At 41.8% G+C, this 12681-nt stretch overlaps 1 annotated feature.

Moving 5' to 3' along the window:
• Nucleotides 10135-11485: an enhancer, noted in NCBI's record as "VISTA enhancer hs168". NCBI's record gives its function as "enhancer in: dorsal root ganglion[3/4]" and the evidence as "EXISTENCE:transgenic organism evidence [ECO:0001131][PMID:17130149]".

The following is a 12681-nucleotide window of genomic DNA, read 5'->3' as shown; positions in this document are numbered from 1 at the left end:
GTAGAAAATTGAATCATGGGGGCAATTTACCCCATACTGTTCTCCTGGTAGTGAATAAGTCTCATGAGATCTGATGGTTTTATAAGGAGAAACTCATTTCATTTGGCTCTTTTTCTGTCTCTTGTCTGCTGCTATATAAGACGTGCCTTTCACCTTCCGCCATGTTTGTGAGGCCTCCCCAGCCACGTGGAACTGTGAATTTATTAAACCTCTTTTTTTTTTTTTCCCATAAATCACCCAGTCTCGGGTACGTTTTTATCAGCAGTGTGAGAACAGACTAATACAGGCAGTGATCTATGTATTCATTTCTTCATGCAGTCAGCAGACATTTACTGAGTCTCAATGGGCTTACATCTGTGTTAGGCACCAGAGATCCAAAATGAATGTGCTTGGGGAACTTGCAGTCTACTGGGAGCAGATGGGGGCATGTTTAAATAAGGACAGTGCCTTGCATAGTGAAAAGTGGGTAGTGATGAAGGTCTGGAACGGGCAAAAGTGTGAAGAGAGAGAGTGTATGAGCAAAACTTTATTGGAAAAGCTGACAAGACTAGGTATCTGAGTAGACTCATGATGAAGGAAAAGATGAAGAAAAGTCTGGGTGGTGGAAACCGAGATAGGGAAGTTGGTTTGATATGGGATAGCTTGAGTTTGAGGTGATGTGAGACATCTTTGTAAAAAATACCCAGTTGGCAATGACATGGACTGGCACTGGGGTGTGAAACAGGACACCTAAGTTTAGGAATAAGGACTAATATTGTGACTATTGCAGTCATTAAAATGGCGAGCTTTCTGAGGAGTTGTATTAAGATTGAAGAGGAGACAGACAGTTTCATATGCATCAAAACTAACAGCAAGCTTACCTTTTTAGCAAGTGTTAAAGGCATGCTACTGGGCTATTTGATCTATGTCCTGTTCTTAAATTTCTGTACCAATATGGGTAATATCAGTGCTTTGTCAATAAGGACACCCTTGGAGGCATGAGGAGGAGGAGGAGACAGCAAAGAAAGGGAATAGTCAGAGAGGCAGGAGAGAAGAAAGGTGATTAGGAATTGTGCAATATCCCAGGAGTCATTGTCAGAGAGACAAGAAGATCAAGGCAGTAGCTGAAATTTTTATTTATTATTCATTTATGTATTCATTGTTTTGTTTTTTGGGTTTTTTTTTTTTTTTTTTTTTTTTTTTTTTAAGACAAGGTCTCGCTGTGTCACCCAGGCTGGAGTGCAATGGTGCAGTCATAACTCACTGCAGCCTTGAACTACTGGGCTCAAGATGATCCTCCCTCCTCAGCCTTTCACATAGCTGGGACCACAGACATGCGCCATCACACCCAGCTAATTTTTTAAGTTTTCTAGAGATGGGGGTCTCACTTTGTTGCCCATGCTGGCCTCAAACTCCTGGGCTCAAGCGGTCCTCCCCGCTTGGCCTCCCCAAAACTTGGAAGTACAGGCGTGAGCCACCATGCCCAGCCAATTTTTTTTTTTTCTTTTTTTTGAAACAGAGTCTTGCTCTGTCACCAGGCTGGAGTGCAGTGCCACAATCTCGGCTCACTGAAACCTCCGCCTCCCGGGTTCAAGAGATTCCCCTGCCTCGAGTAGCTGGGTCTACAGGCGTGCACCACCACGGCCTGCTAATATTTTGTATTTTAGTAGAGAGGGGGTTTCACCATGTTGACCAGGATGGTCTTGACCTCCTGACATTGTGATCTGCCCGCCTCGGCCTCCCAGAGTACTGGGATTACAGGTGTGAGCCACCGCGCCCGGCAATTTCTTTTTTTTTAAGGATAAGAAAAAGCAAATTTTCTCCAGCAACAAATCAGAGAGAGAGAGAGAAAGAGCCCTATTTGTAAAGAAAACAGTGAGACTGTCGTGGGTTACGGAAACTGTTAGTAAGGACAAAATGGAGGTAGTTGGCATAAATGGCTGGCCTGAGAAATCCCACAAAGAAAGGAGAGACACAAAATAGGGGGTAAATGGGTCATCAGGGTCAGGTAAACGGTTGTTTTCAACTGAGAGAAATCTCCTCCTTTGAGAAAGATGTCTTAATGTGGGGTACAGGGAATGTTCTAGAACCTACACCCAGTAGGCTCAGTCTTCTTGTGCAAGATTAAATCAGGAAGCTTCTGACCGAAGCACATGAAAGAGAAGTATTCTTAATCCTGGGCAGTAAGTTGAAGCTTGACAGTAAGAACTCTTGGGGGCCAAATCTTCATAGTTATTTGTTTCTCTTGCCAGACAGCAGGAACAGAGGGGAAAAGGGAGGGATGGTGATCTGGGTTTCGGGTTGACACCTGTCTGGAGCAGTACTGAGAATCTGGAGTGTGGGCACAGTTAGGAGTCCAGGCTGGAGGGTGAGAGCTTCAGGGGGATGGATGCAGTCACTGGAATGAACTCGATGAAGAAGGAGGTTTGAAGATTGTAGTCTAAGGGAGCTTCATGAGGACTGGAGGGAATTGATGGCTGTATTAGTTTCCTTGGGCTGCCTTAACAAAAGGTGCAAACCTAGTGCTTAAACAACAGAAATTTATTCTCTCATAGTTCTGGAGGCCAGAAGTCTGAAATCTAGGAGCAATAGCTGCTTCTAATGGCTCTAAGAGGGAGCCATTCCTTGCCTCTTCCACCTTCTGGTGGCTGCAGGCGCCCCTCGGCTTGTGCCTGCGTAACTCTAGTCTCTGCTTCTGACTTCATCGCCAGAAATCCTTTGTGTGTCCCAAATCTTCCTCTACTTTTCTCTTATTAGGAACAATTGTCATTGGATTTAGGGCCCACCTAGATAATACAGAATGATCTGATCTCTATATCCTGAAATTAATTACATCTGCAAAAAACCCTTTTCCCAAATAAACTGGATTTCCCTAGTTTCTTATGCATCAAAACCAACAGCAGGCTTATCTTTTAGCAAATGTTAAAGACATGCTACTGGGCTCACTTGATCTATGTCCTGTCCTTGAATTTCTGTACAAATATGGATAATATCAGTGCTTTGTCGATAAGTACAGCATGTTCCATCCGCTGCCACCTAACTCTTAACAAGCTATCTGAGCGGAGGTGCTTGTGTGAAGGTGACACTTGCCCTCACCAATGTCATCTAAGGAAATACCCATCTTCCCTTAAGTGTCTCTCCTCCCTGCCTTCACATATCAGTGCACTATAAATGATGATGAGGAGGGTTTGTAAATCAAGAAAAAGGCCCTGTTTTCAAGAACTCCTTAATTAGGTAGGATGGATATGGCATCCTAGTTCATTTGGACGGGACAGTGGGGAACCGTTCCATCTCCTGGATGTCCCCACCTGGGTCCTGCAGTGTTCCCAGGGTGACTGCTCTGTGTAAGGAGTTTATAACTTAGCTTCTTATTCCTTATGTCAAGATCGATAGGAATATTGTGCAGGTTGAGTCCATTACCAGGTTTTACAAAATGGTTTGGAGATTCAACATGGAATTAAAATTTCTGTTTAATTATTTATACCTCACCTTGTTCTGAAAACAATTCAAGGTTCCTTGTCAGATTATATACAGTAGATCAGGGAAGAACAAATTAGAAATTGATGAGAAAAAAAGATGTAGGACTTGGAACCTGAAACTGAGCCAGGAGTGAGACTGTAACGCAGCAATGCATACCACAAAGTTCTGTCTGTTCACAATGGGTGGGATTCACATTTGGGATCAGACAGCTCTAACAACCAGTGCAAAAAGAGAAACCTGATCAGTCACAGCATTTACAGCATCCAAGAGACAATATGCCCACAGGCCGAGTTCTTAGGAGAAGCCCAGTTAATCCTGAACTGAGAAAGACAGGAATTTCACCCAGGGTTCCTCATAATGAGGCTACTCTGTGATGAAATAAAGAGCATTCCAATAAAATGCCCACAGAAGTGATGCCTTCTGTACAGGTCTATTCCTTCGTAGAAATTTGCAGCATCAACAGCCCACCAAAGGGGAAGACAATAAAAGCAATTCTTTGTGGGTCAACATGATGTAACCAACACAGTGCTGGCCTGGCTTAAATTAGAACTCAACTTTGGGGAAGGTTGACAGGTGGAAAATGTGGCTGGAAGAGAGAAGTACTGACTTTACGTCCCATTCCTCACTATTTAATATGTTGCCATGTGGGACGGTGATAAGAACTTAGGCTTTAGATGGAGATAAAAGTGAATTTGATCACCACCACTTAATAAGCTGTGTGTTCTTGATGTATCTGCACCTCGGTTTATTCATCTATACAATGGGCGAAAAAATCCTTTTCCTTGTGAGTGAAAGGCAATGTAGATGCAGTGCCCAGCACAATGACTGGAACAGAACAAGTGTGTGATAAAGAGCAACTACAAAGCCTTCTGTCATGTCTTCAGGTGGTATAATCACCTTGGACAAGGTGAATTTCTTGGGCCTCAGTCTTACCTTCTGGCAAGGTATTGTAGAATGGGTATTTCTTGAATTCCTTTTCATCTCTGGCATTCTATCTCATGACTCTATGACATTTAAGATATAACTTTACATCAAAGAACATGAATACTAAAATTATGTTGTTGCTTTTATACAAATACTCCCCCTTTTTATTTTTTAAAGACAGAGTCTTCCTCTGTCAACCAGGCTGGAGTGCAGTGGCATAATTTTGGCTCACTGCAACCTCCACCTCCTGGATTCAAGCGATTCTCCTGCCTCAGCCTACCCAAGTGCCACCACGCCTGGGTAATTTTTAGTATTTTTAGTAGAGATGGAGTTCCGCCATCTTGGCCAGGCTGGTCTCTACCTCCTGAGCTCAAGTGATCTGCCTGCCTCGGCCTCCCAAAGTGCTGGGATTACAGGCATGAGCCGCTACACCTGGCTAATACTCCCCATTTTAACAAAAGTCAGTATCATATGTGTGTTCTTAGACCTACTATAAAAGTGTGATAACTTCCAATAGTTCATTGTCGTACAATATAATCACAAGAAAGACAAGATGGTGGGAAAGTCATAAATGCAGGTAACCAACACACTCCTTCAATGCCTCCCCACTGCCTACTGGATAAAATCCTGTCTTCTTAGCAGGAAGCTCCAGGGTCTTCAGCATGTGGCCACTGCCCACTTCTGCTGCCTTGGCCCTGACCTGGTCCTTTTCATGGTGAACCTTCAGTCTTAATGAACTGGTCGTGATCCAAATGCACCCAGTTTTCTTAAACTATATTTTACCCAAGCTAATCCCTATGTTTCAAATGCTTCACCCCACCCCTCCCAATGGCTTCCAGAAATCCACAAAAGAAGTTTCTAGATGGTTAATACTAACTCCTAATTTATCTTCTCTGGAAGATAGAGTGTCAAGGAGCAAAAATATTATTTAAGTTAATTTTTTAAACTTTGCTATGGTTTCCATTTGTCATTATTCCTTTGGCAATACCTATGATTTCTTAAATACAAAGTGCCAGGCACTGTCTTACATACATTATTTTTTCATTTCTTGCAACATTCTTGAGAGGTAATAACCATCCCCATTCTACAGATGAGAGAGCAGAGGTTAAAGGAAGCTAAGATATTTACCCAAGACAGAACAACTAAGAGCCGGTTGTGGTGGCTCATGTCTTTAATCCCAGCACTTTGGGAAACTGAGGCAGGAGGATCACTTGAGGCCAGGAGTTCAGGACCAGCCTGGGTATTATAGTGAGACCCCATCCTACAAAAGCTACAAAAGTTAGTCAAGCATGGTAACATAAGCCTATAGTCTCAGCTACATGGGAGGGTGAGGTTGGAGGATCGCTTGAGACTGAGAGGTCAAGGCAGCAGTGAAGTGAGCCGAGATCTTGCCACTGCACTCCAGCCTGTGTGACAGAGCAAGACCCTGTCTCAAAAAAAAAAAAAAAAAAATGATTAGGGAGTTGGGATTCAACCCAAGCTTCTGAAACCAAAGTCAATGCCCTTTCTACCATACCTACTGCCTCCCCATAGGAGCAAATGGCATTTCCCACAAGGCTCTCTACCTGACAAGACAGATCAGACACATGGAGCATAGCGACTACTGAGGAAATGAAAGATATTTTGAAAGTTAATATATTCTGTTTTCTTGGTTCCAGAGAGGATTATATCTAAACTATTTTTCCTAACATACATACACACACACATGAGTTTATCAAAATCCGTTGGCAGTATTTATGGCAGCCACATCAGTTTGTTCCTGGAATGTGCAAGAAGTGTAAGACATTGCCCGGCCCCGAAAGAGCTGATAACCTCACTAAGGAAAGAGGACATGGAGGCCCACGATTCCATTAGACAAAGGCACTGATGCTGGAAATCGGGTGCCGAATTGTGTGTTGCAAATTATAATGTAACTCACACTACAGAGGAGGCTGGTCCGGAACCCAGTCTGGAAGCAGAACAGGTAGGGAACCTGCCCAAAATATGAGCAGGGCATCAGAACCAAAAGGATAATCCCTCCAACCCAAAGAGAAAACCCAAAAAGAATGTAATTATAAAAAAGATAACAGATCTGTCCAAAGAAAGCAGGATATATTAACTTATGAGATATAAGTCTTAGTTCTATTTGTTCTGGTATTTCTATAAATTTTGCATTGAAATAGAAAACACAAACTGAAATTAGAAGTGCCATCTTAAGGTGTAACCTTCCACTATTGTGTCTGAGTTATTCAAGCCTTTCCGCACCCATTTTAGTGGCCTGCGCATGCACTGTTTTTAGATAAGGGGTTTATTGAGGGTCTCCTTGAAGTGCCAAGGAGCTGGCGAGGCACTGGGGACCCAGCAGTGAACAAAGGAAACGTTGTTTTGAGAAAATCACTGGTGAGACCCCCCAGAATCTGGCCTCTGCAACCCCTCCTATCTCAACTCCTACTTCTGACCCCCTGGTTCACTCTGCTGTAAACACATGGGTCTCCTGGCTGCTCCATGAACAGCCCCGGCAACCGCACACCCCACCACTGTGCTGTTCCCTGGGCAGATACCTGCGTGATGCCCCCGCTCCTCCTTCAGAGTTTGGCCCAATTGTCACTTGATTACGGAAGCCAGTTGTAACTCTCACTCCTTGCCTCTTTCCATGCTTATCTCTAGAGAGCTAATCATCATCTAGCCCACCCGATGGTTTTCCTGCTTATTTGTTTATTGTCTGTTCTTGACACTGGAATGTAAGTCCCAAGAGGACCAGAATCTTTGTTTTGTTCACTTGTATTGAAGAATTTATGTTAAAGCTCACTTGGGTTGAAGAACATTAATTTGGATTGAAGAGCACCTAGCACCTTATGAGTACCAAATAAACATGAATTGAATGCAAGATCTTTATAGAATCTTAGAGTTCGCCAAATGACAGGGTCTGGATAATTTTCCTAATGTCTTAGAGGAAAGATTCCTAAAACCATAAGGATTTGTTCTTTGAAATGACATCGATGAAATAAGGGGGAGTCCACTGGGACAGTCTGACTCAGGGAATGAGAACAGGCCTCAATTAGCTGTTGGGACCAGCCTGGGGCCTCCTTTAAGTTGTAGAAATCCAGAAGTCAAATCATTAAATCAACTATAGACCTACCATGTGCAAAGGAGCTGTGGCCATAATCTGACCTGATTTCCCACATGTCACCAATTTTATTTCCATTCCCAGACTCCTGCCTCTACCTCCCAGCATCCAAACTCACAACAGACACCTACCAAAGCTACATATTGATGACAGAGCTGGAAAGGCATCCTGAACTGGGTGGGGAGGGAGTGGTGGAGTGCCCCAGGGTGCTGCCAAACTCTATTTTTGTAGTATAGAAGGCAAGCTAGTGATAAGGCCCTCAGGTCCCGATCTTAGCTGGCCCCATGACATCGGGAATGAACTTGGCTTCTTCGTGCCGTGTCCCTGGATAAGAGGACAATCGCTTACATTCCCTAATACAAAGTAGTAAATCTCTTAGCCTGACATTCATGTATTAACTTGTTTGGGTGATGTGGGAAGACCATATTAGGTTGAACCACGGAGTTGGCCATACTTGTACATGAAAAATGATCCAACAGTGGTAATTCCATATGGTTCATGAAGAAAATGGAAAACTATGATTTAGGTAACATTGGCTCAGGTGGGTGTGCTTTTCAAACATGGAAACAGTGGTTCATTGGTCCACGCTCTAACTCTACAATTGAACTAAGCTCCCAGAAGGTGATAATTACTAACATTTATCAAGTGCCTTTGGGTCGGAAGCACTTTCACTAAAACCATTTTATCTGATCCTAAAATGAACAGTTAACCCCCACATTCGTCTTACAATCAACTAACAAACATTAGGCACCTTCCAATTCATGTATCAGTCAAAAAACTGTGGCCTACGAGCCAAATTTACCTACAACATGTTTTTGTACAGCCCAGAAGCCAAGAATGGGTTTTACATATTTAAAGGTTTTATGAACCCACACACATACACACACAAGAATGTATGACAGAGATCATATGTGGCCAGCAATATCTAAAATATTTACAATCTGGCCCCTTTACATACAAAGTTTGCCAGTCCTGTTCTAGATGCCAGGCACCGTACTAGGCACACTTAATATGCTAATGCAATATGGTGAGAGTGAGCAGGCCTTTTAAGCTTCAGGCACAGTTTGGCACTGGTGTTGGGTGTGGCTACAGTAGGGAAAGAACTCAGAAAGCAAAGGTTCTGGTCCCTGTTCTGTGTCTCACTCTTGCCATGTAACCTGGGATAAGCTCCCTACACTTTCTTAAGCCAGTAGCTTCTTCTATGATATGAGCTGTTAGAAAGAAACTTCCTTTTACTATGAGGCTATCAATTCCTTAGAACTAGCCCAGAGGCCCAGAAATGAGGACATGTATTCTAGTTTGAGGGCTTTTGAAAATCATGATGACCCAATTACTTTTCTTCCTGTTGTAAATTTAAGAATAACTTTAAAGTGCTAAAAGGACAAGGGACAAGAATAGGGAGGCAACAGATTGTGAGGGAAAAAGGAACACATCTTCCAGACAGGAAATCAAGGTGTGTCATCTCTGTTCTAGGTGACAAAGGTAGAATTGCCATTTGAGGGGGTCAGAATAATGTTTTTAAGCAGAAAGTAGTTTTCCATGTTTGAACATCCAAATGCAAAAAGAAAAATACCAGTACTACAGACCAAATACAAAGACGGGAGGGGGATTAAATTTTAAAAATGCTCATGGCAATGAAAAACTGTAACTTCCAATGTGAACCAATTCATTGAGGCCTTAACATTCATTTGTTGGGAATGGAGGGGGCAGTAAAATCTGCCGTCAGAGCCATCTGGGGAGCTGCAGGCTGGAAAGGTCAGCTTTGGCTAGGGATGTGCAACTCCTCTTCTTTGTTAAAATGATGGTATTCGACAGAAGTTACATCTGAGGTCAAGTGACCGCAATAACAGGGGACAAGGAGCGCTCTCAAATCATTCTCAGGAATGAAAATGACATGAAACTGACATAATATCTGAGGTGAGATGAAACTCAAATCCTCGGCAGCTGAACACTTCACCTACTGATGGGCAGCCTGACCCTCACCAATCTCATAATCATACCTGTGTCAAGAGGGGAACAGTCTTCAGCAACACAAGGCGCAGCTCCTGGCGTTTTGGAGGGGAGAGAAGGCTTTGTCTCTGCTTCAGAAATGATGTTGTTAAAAGTTTCAATACTCAGCTTTAAACCTTTCAAATCAATGTCTTATTAGAAAAATTGGATTCCACCTACATGCATAGAATCTCTTCCCTTATGTAATTTCTCTCAGCTCTGGCTATTTCTTGCCTGGCATTTTCAGCAATAAAAGCTGTGTTTTAGTTCAATGACTATCTTCATGTTATTTAAAGCTTCAACCCAATTCCATTCAAACTGTAAGGGAAGTCTCTAATCTGGGTTAATCATCTAGTTTCAAAACTACCTTAGGGGATGGAGGATGGGTTGGGAAAAATGATGATTGATTATAAACTCTTTGCCCCCCAGTACCACATATGAAAGGAGGGTGGCCTAGAGACTGTTGAATATGCTAACTCCTAATAAAGGACTGGAGAAAAGGAAGCCCATACTACATTTGAATTTAAAGTGAGTATTAAAATTAAAACCCCAAAAGGAGAAATATTACATTTAGTCAGCTGTTACAAAAAATACTTCATGCTCTATCATCTTCCTTGTAATTGCTCTAATAGGAGGTTCAGTGTGGTAGACTTGTATTCCCAACTATTGGCGTGATGAAAAGAAGTTTTGGTGTCTATTTATTTTTTCCTGAAAAGAGAGAAGGGGACTCAAGGTGTGGCCCATTTGCATAAACACAACTGCCCTGTCTTCGGAAATGTGCCCTGATTTCTTCCCTGCCAATACATTTAGGCACCCCAAAGCCAATAAATACAGTTGTCAGCAAGGGGATGAATCAGCATGTATTTAAATCAAAGACAGCAGTGAAAGACTACATTAGTTCTGTTCCCAGGACCTGTCAAACCACAGAAGAGATTAAACATCTGACCCTCTTCATCCCCAACATTGTTCCACAAGAGACATTTCTGTCACTATTCCTGCCACTTGGCTTTCAAAGATGCCACAATGCCTAGGGCGACCTCTGCTACATTTCAGTGTTGTTTATTGATTTCTGACCCAGTGCTTAATAGTTTTCCCAGTCCCCCTGAATGGCTTTTGTAAGCAATGGGGTTTGTACATCTGACCGATCAATACCTTTTATATTTACAATAAAATTGAAACTGCTTCTGCTGGGGGCGCAGCCCAGCATTTGTCATCCTTCAGCGAGGGAAAACTATGTCATTATCTGAATTAAAACATTTATTTCTGATTAAGAGAGTGTCCTATCTCATTAATTTTTCCCTTTCCAATAGAATGGGAATAGAACCCTATTGATTTTTGCACTTTTACACATCTCCACTGCTGGGAAGATAATTGAGAAGTTAGCCAGAATAAATGAAGTTTCGAGTCTAGTGGGCCAGCCAATACCTTCCAAATTCAAGGTGTTTTTATGAAGCTGGATTTTAATTTGTTGGCAAGCTGAAGCAGTGGGACTTATTCGGCTGAGTAAATTGGATTAAGAGTAGAATCGGCTCGAAGCATGTCTTGGGGAATGCTGAGGGCCTGGTTCCCCCTGGACAGCCAGAGCCTTGCTTTAGATTTATGCTAAGACAGCTTCCAAATTGCCCTCCTTCGAACTCCAGCTCGCTTCAGGAAGTGTGGATCACTGACCCAAAAGCCTATTAACTTGTGTTTCCCTTCCTCACGCCTGTGGCCTTAAAAACAACCAAGATCTAATCAGAGGTTGAACTAGACCTTCAGATTGTCGGCACCAATTGATTACACTTTATTAGAATAATGGGACTAAATCCAAGCTTCATTAAAAGGAATTCCCTCCGCTTGGAACCCTTTCTTCCGCAGACCTTTCAATTATAAGCCCTTATGGCACACATAGGGAATACTGCTCACGTTGATACTTTTCTCATTAGGAATTAAAAGTCATTTGTTCTTATTTCCATATGCAAAGCCCAAGCCTTGTCTCCTCCTAGAAAGGAGAGAAAATGCACAGCCTCTAGGGTTAGAAGGACCCAGGGTCTACAGAGAAATTAAACCAGAGCTATCTTTGTTAATGTCTTAATTTGTTATCTTCTCTGTAATTTATTTGTCACTGGTCCATTACTTTTAACATTCACATTCACTTCTATGTATCTTTAATCCCTCTAGGAAAAACAGGTTGCATCCTTGCATTAAAGGAGAATGGGAACCAGGCTAGAGCCAAAGATCTTCCAGGTTAGAGCCAAAGATTCTTCAAGGGAAAAAATTTACTAAATGCCTTCCCTGGTGACCTGAAAATAGAGATCTGCCAAGAGAAGAGCTCATCTAAAAACAAGACTGAGAACTTGAGTTCATGTTTAGAATGCCGCAGCTTGAGAGGAATGTGGAGATCATGTTTCCTCTTAGAAGTATAAAGAAGTACTGAAAATTAAGGAAATTGTTTATAGAGAAAAGACTTCAAATTGGATTTAGGTGACATAGGACAGCCTGAATTTGGCGGGTGAGGGGGGGGTGGTGTGTGTGTATAGACCAAAAAGAAGCACTTCAAGAAGGCCCTAGTTACCAAAAAAAAAAAAAAAAAAAAAAAAAAAAAAAAAATGCAACACAGCAGATTAAAAATGCTGTGGAAGTGAAGAACTTAATTTCTGACTGCATTTTAATGCATGGTCCAAAGTACCAAAGTATGCAAAGGTTGAATACATTCATCACAAACAGTTCTGTTTTCTCTCTTTACACCAATGAGGAATTACAGGATTACCAATGACCTTCCTCCCAATGAAGCTCTGTAATTATGGTCATTTATTATACAACTGAGATGAATGGATGGGATTTACATAGAATAAAAATATTATTTAACAGCTGCGTTATTGATGTGTGAAGCATAATTTTAATTTATTTAAATGCTATAAATATACTGGTAATGTATGCTTTTCAAATTAACCTCCTGAACCACACACTGGCAAAACTTCAATTAATATTGCACTAAAATCTATTTTCTCATGTTGTGTGGAACCATGTATGGCTAAAAATCCATACTGCTATGATCCCCAGCATACTTTACCAGTGTATTTTACTTCCTCCTTGATTCACGATTTCAGTTTGAAATTGAATTTCAATTGGAATCATTTAGAAAAATATATCTTCTCTTAAACAAAATATCCCTATTTAACTTTAAAATGGTTTTTACTATAAATTACAAATGCAATGATTTG

Source organism: Homo sapiens, chromosome 1 (genome assembly GCF_000001405.40).
Source record: "Homo sapiens chromosome 1, GRCh38.p14 Primary Assembly".
Lineage (NCBI taxonomy): Eukaryota > Metazoa > Chordata > Mammalia > Primates > Hominidae > Homo > Homo sapiens.
This window is presented reverse-complemented; position numbering and strand designations above follow the sequence as displayed.